The sequence below is a fragment of the Homo sapiens genome, chromosome 6, assembly GCF_000001405.40.
Source record: "Homo sapiens chromosome 6, GRCh38.p14 Primary Assembly".
Lineage (NCBI taxonomy): Eukaryota > Metazoa > Chordata > Mammalia > Primates > Hominidae > Homo > Homo sapiens.
In genome coordinates, this window is record NC_000006.12 from 159,055,367 (window position 1) to 159,083,294 (window position 27,928).

Consider the following 27,928-nt stretch of genomic DNA (forward strand, 5'->3'; position numbering starts at 1 on the left):
GGCTGCCACAACAAAATACCACAGACTGGATGGCTTAAACAATAGGAATGTGTTCCTTCCAGTCCTGGGGTCTAGGAGTGACCAAGGTGTGGGCAGGGTTGCTTTCTCCGAGGCCTCTCTCCTCGGCTTGCAGATGGCCATCCTCACTGCACCCCGCCTTAGTCTTCCCTCCGTGTGCACATTCCTGGGGTCTCTCGTGACCACATTCCCTCTTATAGGGGCGCCAGTCGGACTGGAGTAGGACACACTCTAACTGCCTCACCTTAACTTCACCACCTCTTTAAGAGCCTCCCTCCAAACACAGTCACATTTGGAGGTGCTGAGGGCTAGGGCTTCCACACAGGAATTTTGGGGAGACACAATTCAGCTTATAAATATACATATGTATATATGAATACACATATAGGTGTACATATATATACTTTTAAGTTGACCAGAAATATGCCTGCCTTTGTTTCTCTGTCAGGGGGTTGGTATCAGTTCTCTGCCTTGTGGACCACCCTACGATGTGACAGATACAGACAAAGGGAAGGGGCAGGAGGGTGGTTTGAAAGCAATAGACACTCAAGTCAGACTCAAGTCAGAATCGCTGAAGGCAGAGACCAGGAAAGCTCCAGGAAGTCTGGAGCTGGCAGTAGTGACAGAAACTCAAATCTTTGCTTCCAGGGACCACACAAAGCTGTGGGCCAGCCCCACAGCATCAGGAGGGCATCAGTTTGCACACTTCTGAGCAACTTAAGTAGGACAAAAACCTCACCTTCTCGAGTGTGATTGCTCAAGTTCCTATTCAGAAATAATTGTCAAAGAGGAAATTACATTTTTTTTGGCGGCTCTTTTCCTTCTTCTCATTTTTAAACTCTCTAGACTGTGATAGGCAGATAGGAGTTTTGCTTCCTTAAATAAAAGCCACTTAGTTCCTGTTTTCTGTCATTGGAGGCATTTCAAATAAAAAGCCAGGTTATCAGATAGACATGAAAAACCTACTTCCTAACTGAAGGGGAATTCTGCAGATAACTACGGCATCTGAGAATAGGGATTGAGGATGTCTGCATGAAGTCCAAAAACATGTATTCATTTACAAACTCAACAGATTGTTTTCTAGGATTTACTCACTACTCATGTCCGAGGAGCCTTTTTCCAAATAAGTCTGACAAAGACCTTTGCTCAGCTTTTATGGGAGAAGCTTTTGAAGCCAGCCAGAGGGGAGACTTCCCACAGCCTTCCCCAGGAAGGGCTGGAGCCATCACAGCAGGAGGTGAAGTGCTCCTGATGGCCATGGATGAGAGAAGACAGGGTTTTAAAAAGGAAATATGAAAAGCCTAACCCAGGAACAAACAGGGAGACAATGTTAACATCGAAGTCCTGAAAGTGGAATTGTCAGCAAAAATGGCCAGATGAAAACATCAGATCCTGAAGACTCTGCATCCCATGGGCAGAAGTCAACATGAGGAGACTGGGGGATGCTGCCTAGGTTCCCAGAGAGTCCTGAGTGGGACAGCTTCCTGCAGGTTTTCAGCCCTATAGTTAGTCTGCCTTTCTGCACACTTTTGTTTGTTTGTTGTGTTTTGATCATGATGGGATTGAAAGCTTTAAAGAAGGCAGATTCCAAGAGCTTGCGCGAATTTCTGCAATGGTCCCTGGATGCCAAGATTTATACATTTTACTCAGAGCTCATTAAATTAGTAAAATATGTAAACATTTCCTGTACTGCTTTTTCTCAACAGGGAAACCACTTTTTCCCCTGAAAGAGAGCCGTGTCTGAGACACACAATCACACAGGAGCCTGAGTTTCTTCTGTGGTGATGAAGGGACCTGCTTGGCGTGAGTGTGACTGTCTAAGAGCAGAGGGTCCTCAGATGTCTTTCTGGGAGCCCTGCCTGGTGTCCCTCAGCTGGTCTGCAGTGTTCTGCGGCGAAACACAAGCATGGCAGTCTCTTCCCAATCCACAGACCAATTTAACTTGGTAGAGAAAACTTGCTTAGTTTTACATTTTCTCCCCATATTTACAACAAATTTGCAACTCACATTTGTCTATGTTGGAATCTACTCCATGGTACTATTTGCTCTGGCATAAAGTTGCCAAGTTATTTTACAGCGAACGTGTTAAACTTTCATAGTGATCAAAAAAACTTTCCTGTGACTTTCAGACACTCTGGTCCTTGAACAAGGGTGTCCCCTGCAGTGGTCTGCTTGACTGTCCTTCCATGAGGGCAGGGGCTGTGTCCTGTTAATGTTGACATCTTCTCCGTAGGACTCGCATATAGTTGGCATTCAGTAAAGGCTCATGGACTAGATGAATTCTGGTAGGGTCCATCTTTGAGCATGAAGCATGTGTGGCTCTGGCTCTGCAGCTGGCGGTGACGAAATGTCATTAAAGGGCAGGGGATCCATGAGCCCCAAGAGTCAGAAGGGAGGAGGAGGCAGAGTTACCTTCTGGTTTCTGGGACTTTATGTACCAGGCTCTACCCAGATGCGGAGGGAGGACGTATTTCCTCTGTGGTAGTGAGTATGGTTTTGCCTGTGGTCCATTTTGGAAGTCATACTTCCATTTTGGAACTCTATCCTAGCTGCCCTTGGTAGAGGAATTTCTTAAAAACTTTTACAAAAGCCCAGGAAAAGACCCCGAATGATGGGAAAAGGTGGCCACAGAACCAGGACAATGGCTGGTTCCCCAGAGTTTCTCTCTTTTTCTTTGATGGCCACAAGAATACAGAGAAACCCTTTGTCCAAAGCCAGGAAGGAGGTTCCTCACTCTGAGTGGTGGTGAAAAGTGAATCTCTCCTTAAGGAACAGAAAGTGATGGACCTGGTGATAGTTGACTAGTTGGATGCGGGTTATATAAAGACTTATGAGTCAAATTTTTTTCGTATCTTCCTCAGAGCTGTATATTTCACATAGTAAAAAGTATAACTATGTTTTTCTTTCTTTTTTTTTTTTGACAGAGTCTCGCTCTGTCGCCAGGCTGGAGTGCAGTGGCACAATCTTGGCTCACTACAACCTCTGCCTCCCGGGTTCAAGTGATTCTCCTTCCTCAGCCTCCTATAGCTGGGACTACAGGCACGCACCACCACGCCTGGCTAATTTTTTGTATGTTTAGTAGAGATGGCGTTTCACCAGGTTGACCAGGATGGTCTCGATCTCTTGACCTCGTGATCTGCCTGCCTCGGCCTCCCAAAGTGCTGGGATTACCGGCGTAAGCCACCATGCCTGGCCAACTATTTTTCTCTTAATGGAAAGAAAATTATTCCCAGTAAGAATTGATTTTCCTTTCTGCACCCTCGAAGACCTCTGCATCCTTTTTAGAGCTTGGATATTGGGGTGGTTGTGTCCAAGGATACTACTCAGTGAATCTGGAACATGAGAATCACCTGGGGGAGCTCCCAGTGATCCTAAGGCCTGTGTTGGACCCCGTCCAATTGCTTCAGAATCTTTGATTCAGGCATCAGTATTTTAAAAGTTTGTCAAAGGGTTCCAAAGTGAAGACAATACTGGGAACCACTGCCTGGAGTCCACTATAGTCCTCAAATGCAAAGGTTTCGATTTTTAAAAAATGTTCAAAGGTTTCTTTTACTTGGAAAAAGTGTACTTTAAAAAATAATCTCATAACTCAAAAGTTACCAAAGGGATTTTTCCCCTTAAACTTTCCATTAATAAAAAACAAAGCAAACTTATACTGAAAACAATTATGAGAAAATTCAGCCCAAAGTAGAAATTTCCAGAAAGTTATGGGCAAGTGAAAAAAAAAGGCAAAAACTATCACTGAAAGAAAAAATGCTTTTTACAGGAATTTCATTTTAAATTCATTTGCAATGAATGTCTAATTTCAAAGGTGGATAAACAGCATTTGCCAAAAGTCCCACCTCTGGTGGTGCTAAGAAGCTCTGTGTCGAGTGATGGAAATGCCCACAACAGAGTTAACTCAGTCTGACTCAATGTGGGTTTTAAAAAAAGAAATTAACAAATTTTAACAGTAAGAGCACAAGTGGGCGACAAAATGACTAGCAACAAAATGACTGGTTGAAAAGGATTATCTTGCCAGCCAGGATGGATGGTTCATTTTGCAAACACAACTTTTCTAAATACCATGTCAGCCTTATCTTTTGGTGGCAAAAGAAATGCGTGTTTCCAATTAGTTAGATAATAATACTACACTCTGCAAGGCTCTAGACTACTCTGCAAAGAGCAGAAAAAGTGGATGTAATACATCAGTTATTGACATGGCACAACTGCACCAAGTAATTGTTAACTCTTTGCATTGTATTAATCTGGCACAAGACATTGAGTTCACTGATTTTTGTGACATCAGCTTCCCATTAGCTGCAGGACAAGTAGAAATTCCTCGGGCTGATGTTTAAGCCCTTCCATGATGAGGTCACACTGTGCTTTTCCATCCCTGTACCCCTCTGGTGCCTTTTTTTGGGCCAGTCTTCCTAAAATTTTTCTAGTGAAGAGACACAATGACAAATGAGAGTCTAAGAGAGTCTCCCAAGCCCTCTGTTTTCCCCTCTCTACCATTATTGGGGTCTTCCCCTAGGTCAGACTCTCTGTTACACATTTTACAAATTGATCTTCTTTGTGCCTAACCGTAAACCTGAGAAGTGGGAATTATTATTCTCTTTTTACTTACGATCCCGTGTCACTGCTGAAGTCTCCTTCTTACTATACCAGGGTTTGTCTTCATAATAAAGAGAGTACTTTTTCACTCTCAAATCACCAAAGTTGAGGTGCAGGGAGATGCTTAGTCCTGGGTCATGCTAATCTCTTGGATGCTTTTGACTGAGCACACATGTTTGCAAGTGAACTGGAGTGAAATAACTCAGGAGTAGGCCAAGCTGGAATTGCTCTGCAGGAATGGAGAGGTTGGGCATTCCTTGTTCAACTTTTCTGTTGCGTTGCTTAACTCAGTGTCGGTCATGGCCATGACAGTGGGGATGATGGGAGTAGCTTATGGAGCAGAAAGGAAGGGACGGGCAGATACCAAATCCCGTTCAGCCCTCCTCTGCTATGCCTGCTGCCTTCTGTGGGTGAAGGGTGCTTTGCATCTCTGGGCCTTCATCCCTTTTGTCCCTCTACTGAAATGTCCTTTCCACTCTTCTCCAAAGGCCCAATCCTGCCTCTCCCCACAAAGCCCAGCTCAGAATGCCCCCTGCCCCTCACTCCCAAATCCTCCCGTTTCTCTCAATGAGGTTAATTGTCTACAGTGGCTGTCCCTCAGAAAGATATGTCTAAGTCCTAACCTACACTACCTGTGCAGGTGATCTCATCTGGAAATAGAATCTTTGCTGACATAATTAAGGTTAGAATTTTGAGATGAGATCATCCTGGATCAGGGTGGGCCCCGAATCCAATGATGGGTGTCTTTAAAATAAAAAAAGGAGAAGATTCACAGAGGAGAAGCCGTGTGAGGACAGAGGTAGAGACTGAAATGATATGTCTACAAGCCAAGGAGCACAGGGGATGCCAGGACCACTGGAAGCCAGGAGAAGGCCCGGACACGTTCTCCCTTAGAGCCTTCCAGGGGCACCCACCCAGCGGAACCATTGACTTTGGACTTCTAGCCTCAGAGCTGTTTGTGGTAATATGTTACAGCGCCCCTGGAAATGAATACACTGCCTTTTCCTGAACCCTCCTATTATTCTATCTTATTTTCTCTTGAGACCCATCAGTTCTGACACTATGTTTTATTTTTTCACACACACGTTTGCCTTCTACCAGATCACAACCCCCAGAGGGCAGGATCCAGCTTGACTGCCCTCATGCCACCTCTCTCGAGGATTCCTGAAGGGTTGGTACTCTGGTAATGTCTGCATGGTACTGCACGAGGAAGCTGGAGCACCAATGAGTTAATGCCCCTGAAGGGACTTGACCGACTCAGAGGGAGCTGGAGCACTTCCTTGGCCTCCATGGCAGCCCCTCCCCTCCATGGCTGGGTCAGCCTGATTCTGGCTCAGCCCTGAGACTTCTTTGTTGCTTCAAGTCTTAGGACGTCCTCACCCAACCTCCCTGGTAGACTTCAGACAGCACTGGGTGAGGGGCTTATCCTCTTTGCACCCCCGTTGTCCTCATCAGCACTTAGAGCCCTTGAGGACTTGGTCTCCAGCCAGATTTCAGGCTCAGTTTGTCTTATCTATCTGCTTGGCCGGTCCCCTAGCCCCCTGTCCCTACGGCGAACTCTCTGACTGCAGTGCAGTGATACCAGCCCCTTGGCAGTGGGTTGATTTGCGTGCCCACCTGCCCCCAACCTTATTTATGTGTTGGAGTCCCCAGTACCTCAGATTGTGGCCTTACTTGGAGATAGGATCGCTACAGAAGGAATTTGGTTAAAGTGAGGTCTTTAGGGTGGGCAATCCAGGATGACTGATATACTCACAAAAACTAGAAATTTGAGCACAAATATGTATAGAGGGAAGAGGATGTGAAGACGCAGGGAGAAATCAGCCATCTACCAGCTGAGGAGAGAGTCCTGGAACAAACTCTTCTCTCACAGCCTCAGAAGGAACCAACCCTGCTGACACCTTGATCTTGGACTTCCAGCCTCCAGAACCAGGAGATGTACATTTCTGCCATTTAACCCACCCAGTCTGTGGTCCCTTGTAATGGCAGCCCTCGCAGGCGACCACTCTAGTAGTTCTCAAACCATCCAAACCCTTCCCTGGGGGCAGGCGCCATGCTCAGAGGTTTACCTGAATTATCTCATTTAATTCTCTTAAAAACACAGTATCTGAAGTTCCTTTTTATGAAAAGAAGCGTTGTCTATGCTGGTTGGCCTGTGCTGACATTGTAAACGAACCCATCTGAATGAATCAAAAACAGCAGTCACAGGATTGCATGATATCCCAGAGACTACAACGGGAGGGACAGTTCAAAGGGCATAGCCATGCTCAGGCCAGCGTGAGTGGAGATGCCAGGGCTTCTTGTGGTCATCTGATATTAGAGGGGGTGGAACTTCCCACATTAGTAAGAGAAAGAATTTTTTCTAACTTGGAGGAAGCCATTCTGCAAGGAGAAAATCCATTTGTGACGCCCAGTTTGAAAGACTCTTACCTCACATGTGACTAGGACATCTGTGTCAGAAAGGAAGTGGGTGACTTATTGTATATCAAGTGCTCAGAAGAGTGACAGGCGCATAGCGAGTTCTGGGTAACTGTGGACCATTATTATTATTAGTATTCTAAAGTTTCTCTGTCAAGAAAGAGTGTCACAAACATTAATGATGGTTCCTACCTTGTACACTATGAGCTGATCCTATGAAGTTTATAGGACCACAGTTATCTACTGCAAGGATAAAACAGAAGCCATTTTTCTAGAATATTTCAGAAAGTAAAAGAAGATGACACAACCCCAACCATTTCCTGCCAAAGCCCTACATCTGTGGCTACGAACTTTGCGGAGCTGGTTTTTTATTGTGATGCTCAGTGAACCTCTCAGTTCTTACGTGTGGCTGCAAGCTTCTCTGCTATCATTTGGGCCTCTGTAAGGCTGCAGAGTGAGCCTTCTTCATGGCCCCTCCTTTTGCAGGTGTTTATATCTGCTCTCCAGTAGAAAGCCCTTCTCCACACTTTGCCATTAAGCAGTTTGCCAGAACAATTTGAAGCAAATAGGGAGGTTGTGGGAGAGTTCCCAAGTCACCCCTCAGAGATGGACTGAGATCAGAAACTTAGTAATTCTAACCTTATCAATCATCTTGGCTGTGAAGACCATCTTCACTGGCCTGGATCTTCCTTCCCCCAACCAAAACAAAAAACCAGTTAGCAGCCAGCACTTGCATCACACACCTGCTAAGTGCGAGAAATTCTGTGTTAGTTATTTCTATTTAAGCTACCTCATTCTTAGTTCTCTAAACTATGTGTGACAGCAGCTCATTTATTCTTCCTCAAAATTCTGTAGTGCAGATAAAGCTACTTCCTTAATGGATGAGGATACTGAATGAAATTTGCCTGGGTAAAATACTCAGGAAAAGACAGATTTAGGATTCCAATGTTGGTCTTCTTGGCTTCGGGTTCTAGGCTATTTCCAAATCCCCTGAAGCTTCTCAGTTTGGGAATGCCTGAGTCAGGGAGACCATTTAGGCTGGAAAGGACACGGTTGATGAAATACACTGAGAAGGTTCCACATATGAGGTCTCTCCAGAGATGTCTGGAATTCCTCAGTCAGAATCTCTGTTTTCGGCTAAGGTGCATTTACAAAGGGGCAGCAGAGGCTCTCAGTACTGACCTGGGGGGCACACAGCCCCCTGTTCCAGTGGGTCTCTAGATCAGATGGCACCACCAGCCAACGGAGGGCACAGGTGAGTATGGATGTCAGGAGAGGATGAAGAGGCTTCAAGAAGAGGCCGGAAGAGCTGGAAGAGTCAATGCAACAGGTATTGTGGGTGTTATTGGGAGCCAGGCTCTGGGCTGATTGCAGGCTGTGGGCTGGAGGGACGTGGTCTATGAGGGAGGAAGGTGGAGCACGTCTACAGCAGTGTGTGGGTCACGAGTGTCAATGGGAAAGAACATAGAAGGCAAATTCAAGCTATGTTTCTATGACCTTCGTGTCCCATATTGAAGGAACACATGCTGAACTTTTGGAAGTTTTGTTCCTTTGAAGCAGGTGACCCAGGCAACCCTTCCCAAAGCAAAGAAGAGGTCATTCTCATAATGCTGTGTACATCTCATCATCCCGGCATCCCTTTGCCCACAGAAGAACCCTACGAACTGTGAAGGGGAAGCAGGGTGTGTAATAGAGAAATAACACCCCATTTCAATTCTGTTCTTGGTGGAAGCCTAGAGTTGCTCTGAACCTTCTCATGAAAGATGGAGACAGAGCAGCTGTCTTTCGTGTGTCCAATTTCCTACATGATAAACTGACTTATTGGGTTATGTGGTCACAAATGTGCTATAAGGAAAAGAAATGCCATTGTTTGTGTAATACAATCTTTAGAGGGAAACAAAACTAACAGTTAGCTTGAGTCCGGGAATTGGTAGTGAATTACTAAAATTCAACTGTTTCTCTTCCCTTCATATCTCTGCACACAACACAATTCTTTCTTTAAAAACTAATCTGTATGAAATACGAGAAAAAGCAAAAATAGGCTATGAGGCCGTCTGGTAACAATAATGGAAGTAAATGGAGATCTAAATCCTTCCTGCAAAACTTCTTTTTGTGAGAGCTGGAATCTGTCAAGGACCCAGACTTTGCTAGGATGACTGTCTTCAGAGCCTTCTCCCTGGCACATTCCTATTTTCAAGGGTGCCGTGCTTTGGCATAATGTATTCATTGCAAGTGACACGTCTTGGTCGAGTGTCTAGAAGACACTGTCACGTGCTCTTTGTTGTAACAGTCATGAGTTAGTGAAAGGACCGGAGGCTTCCTGAAGATCTTAGCTTTGTAAACCTGTAATTGAAACTGCTGGCACTCACGGAAACTCGGCGACACAAGGGTCAGAAGCCAGCATGAAGACCAGAGAATTTCCTAAACTGATAGTGAGATCCTGGTCTTTGTCCCCATCCTGCCTTTCCTCTCTGTCACAGGTGACAGCCTGCACGCCAGATAGATGCAGCTTCTGTTCGACTCTGTAGCTCTTGGAAGACCTGGAAAAAAGAAAATGAGAATTTCGCTGATTCTTGGATTGACTGTGAACTGCAATGGAAATGCTCCAAGGGAAGCCAGGCACCAGTGAGACCTGGGCAACCCCCAATTAGACGCTTGGTCCGTGTGTGTCCCTTTCTATCCAGATCGGTCCTTGATTAGCCTTCTCTTCACTTTCCAGACAGCATCTGCAAAGGAAGACACACCACAAACATACCTGGATCTGAAAGTGTGAGGCGCTTGTGAAGGAACCATTAGGTGGCCTTGGTGTGACAAAGCGTTCCCTGGCACACATGACCTGAGCTTTCTACCAGGTCCTGTCTCCAAGGGGAGAAGGAACCTGTGTTGAGATATGGGCCAGCTAGGTGACACGGCTTCCTTCACAGAGCTGATGTCTCAGCATGGCTCCCACTCAGCCCCTGTCACCGGCAAGAGCCAAGTCGTGGCCAAGTGTTTTGATAATAAAACAGTAACAATAAATGATAGCCACTATTTTCTCCATGACTTTGTTTTGAAAGCATCAAAAGCCAGCAAAAAGACATTCCCGCTCCCCCCACCTTCTCAGCTTTGTTGTAGGTATAAATAAAAAGTGTAATTTAACAGATCAAAAGAAAAGCAGAAGGCCAGGCAGATCATAGGCACTTAATAATGAAAAGAAAAATTTACAAAAAGCTCAGAATGTATCAGGAGTTTGAAGGTTGAATAAAAACTCATGGGTATGCAGGGGGGTTGAGACTTTCCTTTTTAACAAGGACAAACTTGTAAGTTTCCCTTCCAGTCTCAGCAGCCACGACAAGGTACCATAACAAAATTATTTTAAGTCAGGGAAAGACAAATTCTGAACATGCAGGAAGAAGAGAAGCCCTAGAAAGAGTATATTTCTTGACTTCTGGACTCTCCTCCAGCTCTTTTTCCTAGGAAACTCCTAGCTTCAATTCAACATGAGAATTGTGGACAGAAAACAACTGTGGCTTTGGCAGGGATTAAGAAGTTGAGTGGGGGTGGCCCTCACTGTCCCTTGATTTAGGAGGGGAAGGCAGCTTTATTTTCAAGAGCAGATCTGAGCTGAATAAGAGAAATGGAACAAACAGAGAGGGCAAAACAAGAGACGCATAAATATCATTTAGCCTCAGCATGTTTTCAAAACATCTCAACCCTCCCAGAAGCACATGGTGATCCTAACACATGACAGTGAACTTGGACAATACCAGGGCCTCAAGAGGCCTTCTGGTGGTTGGTGGTGGGGGTGGGGGATGCAGGAGGAGCTGTGGAGGGCGGAGGAAGGGTTGAGGTAGGGCATCGTAGCAGTTCTCTCCTTCTCCAAAGACCAGCAGAAGGGATTCTGTTGGCTGTCTTGAAAAAGCCCAGTTACTCTGTGGGGTAGGCTGAACTGTCAGTCCTAAATATATATGTTTCTAACAACAATTTTCTGCTTGAAATAATAAATAAGAAATGAGGTTGCATTTTGTTTTCCTCTCTCTTATCACCTCCAGGGCACTTCAGATTCTTTAGACTGCCAAGATTAAGGGCAAATGGCCAGTGGTGACCCCTACTTAGGCGCCAATGAAGATGACACGCATTTTTCTAATGGATCATACTACTGTGTAACTTCATTCTCTTTAAACATGTCACCCACACTGTGCAATCACAGACTGTTCTTTGGAAGCAAACAGAAATCTAAATCCTTCCTGCAAAACTTCTTTTTGTGAGAGCTGGAATCCATCAAGGACCCAGACTTTGCTAGGATGACTGTCTTCAGAGCCTTCTCCTTGGCACATTTCTGTTTCCCACGGTGCTGTGTTTTGGCACAATGTACATTTTGCAAGTGACACACCTCTCCCTCACTGCCAAAAAGCAGTAAGTGAGGCCAGGTGTTCTTTAACTCACACTCCAGAGATGGCCCCATCCTTCTAAATTTTGAAAATTAAAAAAAATGTTCCCTGATGCTCAATACTTGTTCTCTCTTCACCCTTCTCCTGCCCTTCTCTCTCTCTCCCCCCAAACCTCCCCTCTGTGTTTTCTGATCTTCGTGAAGGATTTTTATTTTCTCGAGGGATGCAACAGCCTGGGTTGTTGCATGCTCATTCGTGTTATTCTTCTTTTTTTACTGTCAACTAAGTAGATTGTGTCATTTATTTTGGGTGGCTGTATAGACTATAAGCCAAACACAGAATTTTTGCTTTTTCTACGAACCCAGTAGACAGCAGGACAAAAGGACACTTCAACCCAGTAAGATGCCATTTTTTTTTGTCCTTGTGAAGGAAAATGAAAAGGAATAAATTGTTAATGTCTTCTCTTTTAGGAGATAGGATGGAGTGTCACCAAGATAGAAGACAAAAACATAAGCTGTGAAATGTGATTATAAAGTAGTGACATGAGTGCCAGAAACCACGGAGGAAACGTCTCCTTGTTCTGGATCCACACTTCATACGTGGTCATTGAAACGTGGCATCAAACGGGAGGAATGTGATGGGCCAGGTTAGGGGAAGAGCACCAAGCAGGGCCTTTCCCTGGGAGATGGCACCACGTGACATGCTTCATACGGAAGCACATGGGCCCTCAGCGCTGGTATCTTGCTTCACCTGGGGATGGTGATGAAATGATGCAGAGCTGACTCAATACGATACAGAGCTGACTCAATACGATGTGTGGGATCTTCCATCGTGAAGCAGCTGGGAGCACCAGGAGGCAGGTTTTCCCGTGCTTATGGAAAGCACCACATTGTTCTGCTGGGGACATGTTCTTTTACTCCAAGGAGTAGTGGATGTGCAATGGGCTGTCCTGCCCGTAGAGATGTGTGGGGCTGGCTGCTGAGAACAGATGGCAACTGGCTGGCTCTGATGCCTCAGAAGAGGTGAATGCATTCGGAGAGGCCACAGCTGAGAGTCCCTCAAACTGGGGAGTTATTATTCTAAAAGTTGGATTTTTAGCAAGATTTTACCAGGTGAGGCTGATTAAATGATGGTGGCAGGGGCGGGGAGAAAAACAAATAAAAGTGAGTTGAAGTCAACCTCTCCAGTTAATGGATGTGCGTCTCCTTTACCCAGTGTTCATGGGTCAGAAATCTCACTATTCCACTTAGTAACACACTTCTAGAATTTTTGGCTTCTGTTTTCCTGAATTTGAGCTCTTCTAGGACATTTTGTTTTGCAGTGGAGGAATACTTCCAGCAGGGCACCAACGGTGGCTCCACTGATTGCCGATCGAGACTTCTATCTGACCATTCGGGTCTCCTCACACCACTGAACCGCACAGAAAAGAAGGGCACCACTGGCTGGGGTGGACATGCAACCACCAAGAGGAAATGTGGTTGTTGCCATACAGTGGGGCAAGGGAGGATTCTCTGGAGCACAGGGGACTCTCTGGGCTGTCCCTTAGCTCTTCCATGTCTAATAATAAATGTTAAGGGAAAACTATAGTAACAACGAAAATGCAGGGTCACTGACCCCTTAGGAATGAAGGTTCCAGTCACTGTGTAGAGAACCCTCACAAGCTGAAGCCATGGCCGAGGACAAAGGAAAGAGAATGGCCAGTGCAGAAAGAAGCTGTACACATCAACGACAGCCTCATGATCAGTCAGAGAAAGGGGGACCAAAGCTACTCCGTGTACTCTCACATTCGTCATAAGTGTGTGCATGAGTGTGCTTACATATGAACATATTTTGTCTTCTACCTTCTCCCTCTCTTTACTTCTTTGAGCAACTATTGTTGGAGATTAATTTACAATTTTGTCTTTAGGTAACACGTTATTTGAATTGGCTGTGACTGAATTTGAGGAACAACGCGCCCACCCCAGAGATGGACAGTGGCCTGTTTTCAGGAGATGGCAGCATTGATGACTGGGACATTGTATCTCCTCATTCAAGGGAGAGAATGGGAATGCCTCCATTTCTTATGAAAGAGGCCCCACAACTTGTTAAGTTGAAACATGGATGTCTTGGGAGTTCCAAAGCTCACAGAGGGGAGTGTGTGGAAGCAAAGCCCAGGGCAGGCTGTGCCGAGTATGGAGCTTTGGTTTCTCAGTCCCAAACCTGCCATCCTCCACCCCGAGATGCTGGGCTGGGACGTTGCAAATCAATGCCTGCCTTGCTGCCTGGCTCCCTGTGAGGTCCTGCTGATTGGGCCGCTGCAGGCTGGAGGAGGGGGAAGGGACTTGCTCCTTCCTGGTTTGTCCTAGTTCTGCTTTCTTTCATTCGGTTCCCGTCAGACACCTGTCCGTGTCTTCAGGTTGGCAGTGGCAGTCCCATCCAGTAGCAGGAATTGAGATCAGTTTTCAGTTTTTTCCAAGATTCTCAGAACTGGCCTCATCACACTCTCTTAGGGCCGTGAGTGCCTGTTGCCCAGCGTCCCTCCCCTCTTCAGAGGTCAGGGACTCAGCCTCACAGGGACCCCGCTCTGATCTCTGGGATCCCAACCGGGCTGAGCATCACTTGATTCTCACGGGTTTTGCTCTGCAAGGCTTTCCCCCAAACTGTTAGGAATTCCAACTTCTTCCCTTTGTTCTCCTAGCCGAGGTGCGACGGCTGCTTCCCGCCTTTGCTACATCCACGATCCCTCACTGTTTCCATTTTGCCTTTTCATTTCTCCAGGTAGTTAGCAATTCTATGCATTACATTCTCTCTGTCAGAGTAACCAGTTTGGTTTCTGCCTCTTGTCTGCATTTTTAAACTTTGCTTCTTTTTTTATCTCTCTTCCTCACTCGTGGAATTGGTCAAATTTTCTTTTACCTGCTTTCAGAATTTTCTTTTGCCTCCTTTTAGAAGGTAATAACATACATTCTACTTTTACTATTTTAGAAATCATCCACTAATTCTTGATTCTTAATGCTTACTCGACCTTATTTTTTTTTCTAACAAAATCTAGAGATGGTTAATATTTCTACTCTCTTCTTGAACAAGTCAAGAATGGTTTACTTTCTTCTGAAGTCTTCTCTTCCATCTTTTATGACATTGTCTTTTATATCAGTTCTACTATCTTGATTTTTTTTTTTTTTGAGACAGGTCTCATTCTGTCACCCAGGCTGGAGTGCAGTGGCACAATCACCACTTGCTGCTACCTTGACCTCCTGGGCTTGAGTGATTCTCCCACCTCAGCTTCTTGAGTAGCTGGGACTACAGGTGTGTGCTGCCATGCCTGGCCAATTTTTATATTTTTTTGTAGAGACTGGGTTTCGCCATGTTGCCAAGGCTGATCTTGAGCTCCTGGCCCCAAGCAATCCACCCGCCTCAGTCTCCCAAAATCCTGGCATTACAGATGTGAGCCACTGTATCTGGCCTCCATCCTGATTTTTAAGCAATCTCTAACTAGCTGTAATTATGATCTGTACCAGTCAACTATGTAGACTGATCAGTGCATTTGATTTATTTCTTTGGTTACCATTGTCTTTTTGGATCCTCATTTTTCCCTTTGGATTCAACTTCCTTCTTGCCAGGGTATAAAATAATAATTTTTTTTCACCAAGAGTCTGCGGGCATTCAACTCTCAGTTTTCGTTGTCAGAAATTGTCTTTATTTAGCTTTTAACTTAGAATAATAATTTAGCTGGAATTTAGATTTCTTTGATGAAAACTGTTTTTCCCTGAGTATTTAAAAGATATTATTCATGGCTCCTGCTATCTGTTATTGCTTCTTGGAAATCTACTGTCAGGTTACTTATTATTCATTTTAGCTCTCTGCTTTGTTTTCTTATTAGATAACATCCAGGTTTTTTCTCTTTACTTTTGATATTCTGCAGGTTTATTACCATGTGCCTTGGAGCTTTTATTTATACTGTTCTGGTTTCAGTCTACTTATACAATTTGAAAAGTGATGTTTTTCCTCTCTTCTGGAAAAGTTTTCAGATATTATCACTTGAATATTGCCTCTCTAACTTTCTATTTTATGCACTTATTCTAGAACTCTAATTAGACACATGTTGACTTTTCTCACTGTACCCTTGTAACTTTTTTTTTTTTTTCTGTATTTTTGGTACAGATGGACTTTCACCATATTGGCCAGGCTTGTCTCTAACTCCTGACCTGGTGATCTGGCCTCCCTCGGCCTTCCAAAGTGCTGGGATTACAGGTGTGAGTCACCACGCCTGGCCACCCTTGTAACTTTCATATGTTACATTTTATCTTTCTGAACTATATTCTAGATGATTTTTCCTAGTTCTTTATGCTAATTCACTATTCTCTTCAACTATTAAACCCACCTATTGAGGCTTTTTGTATAATTTGTTTTTTTTTTTTGGAGGTTAATCTCTCCTTTTCTCTCCCATGCTCTTCCTTTATGCTATGTACATCTTTACATTACATATTTTAGATATATTTAGGATCTTTTCAGATTGTTTTATTTTTCTTATTTTATTTTTTGAGACAGAGTCTGCTCTGGTTTTTGGGCTGGAGTGCAGTGGCAAAATCATGGCTTACTGCAGCCTTCACCTCTTGGGCTCAAGGGATCCTCCTGCCTCAGCCTCCTGAAGTTCTGGGATTACAGCTGTGAGCCACCATGCCTGGCTAGATTATTTTATTTTTAGTTCTTGAAATGCAAATATTCCCATTTATTGTGTTTGCTATTTGCCCCTGTTGGTAGTCCATTTCCTAATGTGATTTAGAGTCTGAATTCATTTTTTTAAAAGGGCTATTTTCTACAGGAGTCTCCCATACTGCTGTTTTATGGAACTATTCCTACAGAGCTGTTTCTATTTCCCAGAAGCCTCCAGGAAACCTTTCCTGGCACCTCATTGGCCAGAGTGGAGTCACATGTTTTTCTCAGGCCAGTTGATTGTAAGGGGGAGGGAATTACCCTTAGATCAATCAAGTCCACCCTAATCAAGCTGAGGGTGTTTCAATCTTCCCCTCAGAAACAGGCTGAGAGGGAGGGTGGACACCTGAACCAAATCAGGGTTCTGTGAGGGAGAAATGTACATTTGAAACTTCAGCACTCCTAGAGATGTTCCAATTTGCAAAGAATCACTAGTTAACTATCCAGTAGACAAAATCTCCAAGGGATATGGAAGGGGAAGGGAGAGACAGAGAGTAAAAATGGAAACAAATACAGTAAGGGCAATTTTTTGATGAGACATATTCTGGTGGAGTAGCATTTATATGTTCTCTAGAAGTGACTCACGTTTTTCTGAAAGGCGACTTTGGCTTTTGTTGTTGGATGTGGAGTAGCACTGTACATACCACTCTGTTTTTCTTTTGTCTTTTTTTCCCTTCTATTTACAGGAAAATAAAAACAAAAGCAATCCAATGAAGAAAATGTAAACAAAATGATCTCTAAATTTCGGATATGGCAAGACAAAAATTTAGTATAAGAACAGTTTGAATTAATCTGTGAGTACACTGTGATCCTTTGATGAGTTCAAAGTAATTTGTAGAAAGTTAGTTATATTTTCAGTATTGACGCAGAGCTATGCTTTACTCTGCTTACACAACATAGTAGTTAAGTAACATGATAGGGAACACAGTGTCTGACTGTGGGTCTATCTGGGTCTAACACTATCACCAGCCACACAATTTTGGCAACATCTCTTCTGTGATTTGACAAGCTAAGTTCCTATAGCAGCAACAAAAGCCTCAGGGGTGCTGCCAATGCTCTATGAAGTTTTGCTAAGATTAGTCCACTTCCTTTTGTCGTGTCAATATTTGATGAGCATCCACTATGTGTCAGGCACTGTGCTGTGTCAAAGACGTGACAGGGAATCAACAAAGTCGCTGCCTTCATTGGAGCTTATTGAGGACCAAATCTCTGAGGAGATGAGAATATTGTAACAGACTTTATACATATTTAAATCTATGGACATTTCAATTCTTCATTATTTATGGGCATACTTGCCACCTTGTTGAAAAGTAAAGGTATTATTGATCCTAGTAATAGGTGCTAAAATACCCAACATTTAGCATTCTAGATATATCTAGCCTCTCCATTTGTTTGTGTGACTTTGTCCAGCCATTCACTCCTTCATTTTCTCAAGAGACGTTAGATCTTAGATGGCAGAAAGACTTCTCGGCAAAGGTGACAATTAGGCTGAAACCTGACGATGCGGGGGAGGAATGGTGGTATTGGTGGAAGTGAGGGTAGAGGTTGGCTGAGGCAAGAAGAATGTTTCCAGAGAAAGGAAAAGAGCAGCACATGTAAAGAACCTCAGCTGGGAAAGAGCTTATGAGGATAAGGAACGACTATTTCCTTCTCGCATTAAAGCCATCAGCTACCCCAAACCGTATGTCCCTTGCTCCCTCTGGCATTCCCATCTTAGACCCGGGAACAGTGGTTTTCTCCTTCCTATCTCCTTTGCTTTTTCCCCTTGCATCCTTTCGTGTGTCATCCTCACCTCACCCCTTTTCTATGTTCTTATCATTTCATCCTTGAACTTTAAGTCTGCTTGACGTTTTGTTGTTTTCTGGTCATAATGTTATTGTGTAACCTTTGAAATCTTTTGAGTCTATGAACATGCTTTGAATCCTGCTGGCTTTTCTGTAATGCAACTTTCAAACGCCATAATGTAAACTTGGAACAATTTCATATATAAGCCCTGTGAAAGAATCCCCATTTGTCCATCATGTTTGCAAGGGGGGTTTTACACATGTCTCTTTGAATTCCAGCCCCAATCTGTCAAGGAGGTGTTCTCATGAGGAAACCAAGGCTCCAAGAAGGACTTTGTTAAAATCTAAAAACTAATAAACAATGGAGGTCAGCCAGACCCAGGTCTTCGGACTCCAAATCTAGTGTTCTTCCCAAATCACTTCTTTGCCTTTTTCACAAATGATATCATTGCCCTAAATACAGACTGCAGATTTAACTTAAATAATTACAGGATCTCTTACACACAGCTTATGTTGAGTAGGATTCAGAGGCTCAATTGATTTTTGGAGATTGGAGCTGTATTTAGATCAATTATCCTTTTAGATGGCATGGACAGAACAGATTATGCAACTCAGTTTTATCTCCCACCCCTAGTCCACCCAGTAGAACTAGGATTACTTGTATTTGCTCAGACAACTTTTCGTTTAGTTGATTCTCTATATTTGCTAGATCAGGAGTTGACAAACTTTTTCTGTAAAGGACTACATAGTAAATATTTTGGGCTTGCACAACCTCTCGACTCTTCCACTCTAGCACAAAAGTGGACATAGACAATGTGTAAACAAACTTACAAAAAACACATGGCTGGTGGGATTTGTCCTCTGGGCTGTAGTTTGCTGAACTTTGTTTAAGATAAATGATCCAGATAAGTGATAAAGATTGTCTTATCTTTATTCCTCATATCAGTTAGGATTTGTTTCAACTCTGAATAACAGATCCTCCAGATAATAGTGGCCTAAACAAGATAGATGTTTATTTCTGTCTCATAAAATGCCCAGAGATGAGCAGTCTCAGGCTAGTATGGCATCTCTGTTCTGGGAAGTCCTCATAGTCCGTCCAACTCACCACTCTCCCATCCAGAGTGTGGCCTCATCCTTAGATCTGAGATGGCAGTATCCAGCTTCAGGCAGCAGGATGGAAGAAAAGCCAATGAAGCTTTTCTTCCATCGAAAGAAGTGACCCTTCGGGAAAATCCCAGAACCTGTCACATGATACTTCCTCTTTCATCCTGTTGGTCAGGCTCAGTCACATGGCTACTGGCCTAACTGCAAGAGACTCTGGGAAATGTGGTTCTTACTCTGGATGGTCATTTGCCTGGCTCAGAATTGTTACTGTGAAAGAAAGGGAAAATGGATATTGGGAGGTTCCTGACACACATGCTTCTTAATTCTTTCATTAACTGAATTTCAGTAGAAAATTCAGTAACTAAATTTTATTTTTGTTATTGCTAATATGATATTAACTAATGAGCACTCTTTTCTTGTTTAATAGGAATGATGCTAATGTTTCACTTTTAAGTATGAAATATTTAAACAGATTATGCATATTATCTACTATATTAAGTATAGTAGATTTCTGTCAGAGATCCTTTGTCAATTTAAGGAAGTTTTCTTCTAATTTTAGCTTGTTAACTACTTTTTAATCAGAAGAGAATAAGCCATAAAATCTTCTGATAAGGCAGGCCTGGCTATCCCACCCTCTTTATAGTTCACAAGAATAACCTTAACACCATCTGAATGGAAACACATAGGATTCCCGTGGAGGTGAGCCAGGTCTCCTCGATTCTCCAGGGCCATCTGGTCATGCTGTCAGTGAATTAGTCTCAGGGATGCTGATATCCAGCCTGGGGAAAGACAAAGCTGCCTTTATATAGAATCACTTCTTTGGCTCTCTGCAAACAGAGACCCTGCTCTGTCAGACTTAATTGGGGTTGGTGTATCATGATGATTTCCTATCTTCCTTTGTGATAAATATGTAAACTATAAAATGTCCCCCTGGGGTGCAGAGCTGTCACAGACTCTCGGTTTATATGGTCTGTCTCAGAAGATGGGAGAGTTTATTGCTTGCTATGGGCATAAAAGCACACCCCATACTCCTTGTTGAAATTGGAGTCTTCCAGCCCCTGCAGACACACACCCAAATGTTCTTACCTGCCATGCCTAAGGACTCCCTAAACCCAGGCAGAGAACCTTTTGGAAACCCTCTATGAAACAGTAGCTTCCTCGCTGACTTAGTCAACTTTCTATGCCTCTGGATTCGAACTGGATCCATTTCACCTGCCTTCTCCAGTCTACTTTGAAGGGGTGTAGATTTTCTTTTTGTTTAGTTTAGTTTAGTTTTGTTTTGTTTCTGACCCACAGCGCCTACTTGCCACTTCCTAAAGGAACTGCTGTTCTGGGTCTGGGCTTGTTGCCAGGCCCTTCCTGGGTGATGGGAGTCCTGCTCTGTCACCCCAGCTCTGTCCTGTGGGGCTGCTTGCATCCAAGTGCAATACTCTCTCTGCTCTGTTTGTGCCTAGCATAAGGCACATATCGCCTGCAATTCAAGCTTTAAGAGCCCGGGAATGTTTTACTACGTCTCTTCTCTCTTCAACAGAGCCTGTTCCATCAGCCGGGGTCCTGGGATGAAGGTAACGTGGAGCAGAGTTGCAGCTGATCCACGATGTGTTAGCGCAAGCAAGAAATAAACTTTTGTGATCCTAAGCCACGGGGGTTTTTAAGTTGTTTGTTAGAGCATGACCTATCCTATCCTGACTGCTGTACAAAATTAAGCAATTTCTGTTTGGCAGGATTTCCCAGACCCTCCGGAAGGCTGCTGTGCTGTGTCAATCTTTAAAATGGGAATGAGGTATATCATTTTTCCCAGTCTTAATGCCCAAGACTTTCTTAATGAAATCATCTACTGGGACTTGAACTGCTGTTCCAAAGAAGTTAATGGGATAAATGGCTACGTGTGTTCTGTGCATGAGTCATCTTCTTCCAATGAGATTGAAAGCCCCTCAGTGGAGTAGCATAGCATCCAACACAGAGTTCAATTCAACAAACTTGTTGATAAAAAAATCTCATCCTTTCCTGCCACCTCCATGCCCCACCCCATGCTGAAAGATTTATTTGTAATACCTGTTTCTTGCTTCGTGAACCAAGTTAAGCAGTCAGTGCATCCTGCTCATGTCATATGAGGCCCTGTCTCGCCCATGGAACTACCACTGACTTCTTTTTATTTACTTATTTTTGAGACAGAGTCTTGCTCTGTCACCCAGGCTGGAGGACAGTGGTGTGATCTTGGCTCACTGCAACCTCCACCTCCTGCGTTCAAGTGATCTTTCCACCTCAGCCTCCCGAGTAACTGGGACTACAGGTGTGCACCACCACACCTGGCTAATTTTTTTGTATTTTTAGTAGAGAGATGGTTTCACCATGTTGGCTAGCTGGTCTCGAATTCCCGACCTCAAGTGATCTGCCTACCTCGGCCTCCCAAAGTGTTGGGATTACAGGCGTGAGTCACCATGTCTGGCCACTACTACTGACTTCTACAAGTGCTCCCTTCTGGGGCAGCGCCTGGGAGGCAAAGAGCTGTGTGAGAAGCTTATTTCCAGAAGAGGTGATGAAGGTAAATCAATAAGATTCCGATGCTGTAAACTGGTCAAGTGTCACTCTGCAGCAGACATGCAGTATTAAAGGCTTTGCTAAAAAGAAACCTTTGCCACGTCTGCAGCTATTAGAAAACTTTTTGAATGTCTTCAAAGTAGGATCGCGACAATAGTTTCTTAAAAGGTGTGGTTGTTGGGGAGAAAAGAGAGGCTGCCATGAAGTCCTTTTCTTCTCAAAAGCAATTGCAGGAGAGATCCCTGTGTTCAGAAGAGAAGGGAAGGTGTGGATGGGAAACGCTTTGGTCTGCAGTTGATGTTAATCGAGGCTCTTCTGGAACCAGTCAGAAGCTGCCAGTGCCTGTGATTTCCCCAGCCCTCAGTGCTGCGAGCGAGGCGGCCCGTGAGTAATAGCAGCGCAGCCCACTCTGCAGTATGTGGGAGGACAATAAAGGTCAAACCACAGAGTGGGCTTCCAGCTGCCAGCACGGTGGCCTCTGTCCTTTCACTGCGAGGGGGCTTGGGAGGCTCGGGGAGGAAAGGGAAGGCTGGGTGTTAACGTGAGGTCCTGTCATGGTTTCCGTGGTAAACCATGGGTTTTCCAGGTCTTCAGATTCCAGGCCCACCGCCCTGTGGTTGCCATCTGCCAGCCCCTCTGGACCAGATCAAGTGAAGTCTCTCTCCCAGTACCCTTCTAGTGAGGAAGCAGACATCTGGCTCCTTATCATTGAAGAGAGAAAGCACTTATGAAATTGGATTTTGATTTGTGAGAGATTCAGGAACAACAGAATAATAAAACTAGAGATCAGTGGATCCAGGCGCTTTTTAAAAAAGTCGGCATTCTGGGGCACTTTCATTGTGCCTGGTACTGTGATAAAGATTTTTCAATAACTATTTTGTTTTGTTTTGTTTTTTGAGACGAGTTCTCACTCTGTCTCCCAGGCTGGAGTGCAGTAGTGCAATCATGGCTCACTGCAGCATCGAACTCCTGGGCTCAAGCAATCCTCCTGCCTCAGCCTCCTGAGTAGCTGGGACTAGAGGACTGAGCTACCAGGCCTCGCTATTTTTTTTTCTTTTGTAGATACAGGGTTTTGCTGTGTTGACCAGGCTGGTTTTAAACTCCTGGGCTCAAGCAATCCTCCTGCCTTGACCTCCCAAAGTGCTGGGATTACAGGTGTGAACCACCACACTCAGCCTAATAACTGTCTTTTCTAATCTCCCTGTCACCACTATGCTGTGGTACTATTACTATCCACATTTTACAGAGGACGAAACTGGCATCTAGAAGCTTAAGACCCCCATAGACAGCTGGGACCAAATTCAAGTTCAGCTAAATCACCAGCCTGCTCTCTATCATGCTGCTGCCCTGTATGGCCATTTTGGAAATTTCTGGCTAAAATAGCTACTGGATAGAAATGAACTACTACTATTGGTTCAGCATTTCTTCATTTATCCAGCGAACTTCTGTTGAGACCCTGCTGGTGAGGGCCCAAGGTGGATAAGGTTTGCCCCATCTGGAAGTCACCTGGGCTGGCTCAATTAGAGGGAGGCAATGCCAAAGGCAGTGGGAACCTTGAGGAAGGAACAACTCACTCTACCTGCGGCAGCTGGAGTGGACTTCCATGACATGGTGACATTGACGCTGAAGTGGGCTATCCCAAAGAGGAGAAAAAGGGGCAAGAGACTTGGAGAAGACTCAGCAAGGTGACCCAGGAATGGGAGGCGTGGGGAGTTTGGGAAACTCCAAGTATTTCCCTGCACAATGGGAGGAGAGGGAGGAAGTAGGAGAGAGTAAACCTTCTTAGTGCCACACTAGCTGGAGGGGCTTCATAAGAAGGCAGGTGATGTTACTGATGTTTTATTGAGATGATGTTTGCCATTGAGGATTGGAAGAGATGGGAGTGAGGTGAGGCGGGTGCTAGATGAGATCAGTCTTGAAGCCACTACTCCTCTGTGGTGGCATGAAGGATGAAATGGGCTGAGCAGGTAAGGAGACAGGTGCAATAGTCAGATGCGAGATGATGAGGGCCTGGGATGAGGCAGAGGGGATGGGTTAGAATGACATGGTCTTGGTCATTGAATGGATTTGGGCAAAGGAAGAAAAGGAGAACATTTTGGCTTCTGCCTCGCCCCATTGTCTCAATCTCATGCTAAAGGGGACTCTCTGTCTTGACTTAGTGGGTGCATACTTGAAAATGGAGTTTCAGGCTGGGCGTGGTGGCTCATGCCTGTAATTCCAGCACTTTGGGAGGCCAAGGCAGATGGCTTACTTGAGGTAAGGAGTTTGAGACCAGCCTGGCCAACATGGTGAAAACCTGTCTCTACTAAAAATACAAAAATTAGCTGGGTGTGGTGGTGGGTGCCTGTGCTCTCAGCTACTCAGGAGACTGAGGCAGGAGAATCGCTTGAACCTGGGAGGCAGAGGTTGTGGTGAGCCAAGGTTGCGCCACTGCACTTTAGCAAAAAAAAAAAAAAAAAAGGATTTCAGGGTGGCTATTACCTAAGTAAAGGTGGATGGGTTTTTAAGTTCCTCTGTTTCATTTGTTCACTTCTATTATTCATGTCTCTAGCATGAATCTGCAAGCAGAACCAGTCCCAGTGGAAACTGTGGTGGAGGAGGTTCGAAATGACAGGGGGTACATTATGTAAAGCTGCTGTCCTTTTTTTGTCTCCCGGCCGCTCCCAGCCTTGCACTGGGTCTCTCCCTGGTTACAGAGTACAGCATTCCAGAGAAGAACAGTTTGGCAGAAAATAAAAACATTTGGCATATAGTAAAAATAAACAGAGATCTGCAATGAGGAAATCTTAACCCTGAACAATTCATGGAGAAAATATCTTCTGGGATATTTGAACCATCAAGAGTTGGGATAATTTAACATATGGGCTATAAAATGAGGAAGAAGGAGACAAATTTAAATGCTTCCTTTAATTAGAATATCTTGGTGAAATTGGGTTATAGCCTCCTGGGACCAATTGTTTTATTTTATAACTTTTCCTTAAATTTTGTTTTGCATTTTTTTTCACTATATCAAGAAAGCCTAGACCAAATAAACTACTGAAACATCTGGGCTCAGAACTATGAGGCCCCCACATAGCTGTCTAAAGCACAAGAAAATCCAGGTTCAAATCCCAACTTCACTGCATACTCATGCTGTGACTTGAGGCAAGGGGATAACCCACGCATCAGCGTTTCGATCCTCAAGCTAAGAATAAAAACACCAAGGATAGGTTGGTCTGAGGACCAAATTATAGAAATAATATGAAAATGTTAGTCTACTACCTGGTCCACAGGCAACACAGAATAAAATGTTAGCTCTTTATTATATCATTTAATTCAAAGAGACCAAAGTCACGTGTAGTGGCATTTGGGCATAGCAGCAGGCACACAGGAAGTCTCATGGCCCAGCAGAATTGCCTTACTTAGCTTCTCTCTAGAGACAGAGGTGTGGGGCAGCCTTCATTGTGATTAATGAAACAGAGGTTGGCCAAGGTCTATGACAGCACAGGTCTTCCAGTCAGAAGTGAACTCCAGGCAGGGGTCCATTCTAGCTCTTGTGTTGACAGCACAATGTAAGAGACACTTAGTCTGTAAGAAACTTGAAATAGCCCATAACCTTCCTCACATCCTCCACCTCCTACCAAGCTCTGGGGCTGTCCCACTTTGTGCACAGACTGGAAGTTGTGCTTTGTTGACACTGGGGTAACGTAACTGTGCACATCTGCTAATGGGCAAGGTGGCCTGGCAGAGGAACGGTCTCAGGGGCTTCCCCTTCTGCAGAAAGGACTGTGGAGCTCACACCCTGAGTTTAGAGAAATGACCAGTCCCTTTCTTTCTTTCTGTCTGTGCTCTATGGGTTAATCTAACAATACCCATCAAAAGGAAGGAAGAGCCACGAGGGTCTTTTTGTTTTATTTTTAGCAGAGCCCTCCTTCCTGTCTGGTCTTCCCCAGTCCCTCACTTAGGTCCCACACTCTGTGGTGAGGCAGTCATGCTAATCTGCCTTACAACCAACTTTCCATCATCCTTACAATTAGGAGTTACTGTAAAAAATAGATCTGGAACAAGGGAATATACATCCTTAAAAAAAAAAAACAAAAAAAAAAAAACAAAAAAAACAAAAAAAAAAACAAACCAAAAAACAAGGCCAGGCATGGTGGCTCACGCCTGTAATCCCAGCACTTTGGGAGGCCAAGGCGGGTGCGGGTGGATCACGAGGTTAGGAGATTGAGACCATCCTGGCTAACATGGTGAAACCCCTCTCTACTAAAAATACAAAAAATGTAGCCGGGCTTGGTGGCAGGCGCCTGTAGTCCCAGCTGCTGGGGTGGCTGAGGCAGGTGAATGGCATGAACCCGGTAGGTGGAACTTGCAGTGAGCTGAGATTGCGCCACTGCACTCCAGCCTGGGTGACACAGCGAGAGTCCATTAAAAAAAAAAAAAAAAAAAAACACAAAAAAAACCCAGAAAAAGAACTTATAGGAATTTAGAAGTAATTACAAGTAATTACATCCTCACACTATCCTGAAAATTCAGTCCATTTCAGTTTTTAAATCAACATTTAAGGAAAATAACTAATATTTGTTGAGCATCAAGGACTTGACCCATTAACATCAAATCTTTAGTAATGCTCTATAAGTGAGCTCTATTTTCCGTATTTCATAGGTGAGGAAATGCGTGGCCAAGCTTAACAGAGCTCCAAAATAAAAAGACAGGCATTTGAAACCATCTGTGTCCAAAGCTCACACTCATTCCCAAACTCTGCCTGGCTCATCACTAAACCTAACAGCCTCAGCTAAGTGAGATAATCCAGTACCCCTTGGTCAGAAGTTTCATCTCCCAAGAAAAAGCAGATAAAGCAAATTGCTTTTTAAAAAAATTTCCATATGTATTTGGGGAACAGGAGGTGTTGGGTTACAAGAATAAGTTCTTTAGCAGTGATTTGTGAGATTTTGGTGCACCCATCACCAGAGCAGTATACACTGTACCCAATTTGTACTCTTTTATCCCTCATCCCCCATCCCCCTCCACACTTTCCCCCAAGTCCCCAAAGTCCATTGTATCATCTTATGCCTTTGCATCCTCATAGCTTAGCTCCCACTTATGAGTGAGAGCATAAAATGTTTGGTTTTCCATTCCTGAGTTACTTCACTTAGAATAATGGTCTCCAATTCCCTCCAGGTTGAATGGAAACAATGATAAATAGGTGAGACTTAATTAAACTAAAAAGTTTCTGCAGAGCAAAAGAAACAATTAGCAGAGTAAACAGACAACCGGCAGAGTGGGAGAAAACTCTTCACAGTCTATACATCAGACAAAGGACTAATATCCAGAATCTACAAGGAACTCAAACAAATTAGCCAGAAAAAAACCCAAACAATCCCATCAAAAAATGGGCTAAGGACACGAATAGACAATTCCAAAATAAGATATGCAAATGGCCAACAAACACATGACAAAATGTTCAACATCACTAATGATCAGGGAAATGCAAATCAAAACCACAATGCTATACCACCTTACTCCTGCAAGAATGGCCATAATCAAAAAATCAGAAAATAATTGATATTGGTGGGGATGCGGTGAAAAGGGAACACTTTTACACTGCTGGTTGGAATATAAACGAGTACAACCACTATAGAAAACAGTGCAGAGATTCCTTAAAGAACTAAAAGTAGAACTACCATTTGGTCCAGCAATCTCACTACTGGATATCTATCCAGAGGAAAAGAAGTCATTATGCAAATTACTTTTAATAATGAGCTCGTCTCTCAGAGCAGGGCTGGAAATACATGGCCTTTCTGCAGGTGTTGACATACCACAGAATCACAGTGGAAAATGATAGAAAACAAAACATCTTACTTCTACTTAACTAGTCATATGCTTTATTAAAAAAAGGATTTTTGAGATTATAACGAATATTAAACAATAAACTTGGGCCAGGCGCAGTGGCTCATGCCTGTAATCCCAGCACTTTGGGAGGCTGAGGCGGGTGGATCACCTGAGGTCAGGAGTTTGAGATCAGCCAGACCGACATGATAAAACCCCATCTCTACTAAATACAAAGAATTAGCTGGGCGTGGTGGTGCATACCTGTAATCCCAGCTACTTGGGAGGCTGAGGCAGGAGAATTGCTTGAACCTGGGAGGTGGAGATTGCAGTGAGCTGAGAATGCGCCATTGCACTCCAGCCTGGGCAACAAGAGCAAAATTTCATCTCAAAAGAGTAAAATAAAATAAATAAAATGGAAAAAAATAGGATTTTTAGTAAAGGAAATTTCGTTTAGATTTATTACAACTAACATGAATATAACATTTTATTTCTCTGAAAATAATAAAATTGGAATCTGCTGATAGACTGATAGAAAATGTATGCATGTACATACATTTCTATATCTGAAAATATAATCCGTGATGATGCAAAACA

The 27,928-nt window shown here is 43.9% G+C and overlaps 1 protein-coding gene across 1 annotated transcript in view, besides 1 other annotated feature; it reads right to left on the bottom strand.

The window, feature by feature from the left end:
• Window positions 1-6,511: 6,511 nt before the first annotated feature.
• LOC112267968 (uncharacterized) overlaps window positions 6,512-27,928 on the bottom strand; it is a 59,629-nt gene continuing 38,212 nt past the window's right edge. The window contains exons 4-5 of the mRNA XM_047419645.1: window positions 9,402-9,572; window positions 6,512-8,341 (exon numbers count right to left, since the gene is read on the bottom strand). Of these exons, the coding sequence (XP_047275601.1) occupies window positions 8,170-8,341; window positions 9,402-9,572 (343 nt within the window). The 3' untranslated portion in view covers window positions 6,512-8,169. The remainder of the gene's footprint in view (window positions 8,342-9,401; window positions 9,573-27,928) is intronic.
• Window positions 12,286-12,415: an enhancer, noted in NCBI's record as "active region_25384". NCBI's record gives its function as "activates an Ori minimal core promoter by ATAC-STARR-seq in GM12878 lymphoblastoid cells {active_cell/tissue: GM12878}" and the evidence as "EXISTENCE:reporter gene assay evidence [ECO:0000049][PMID:35858748]".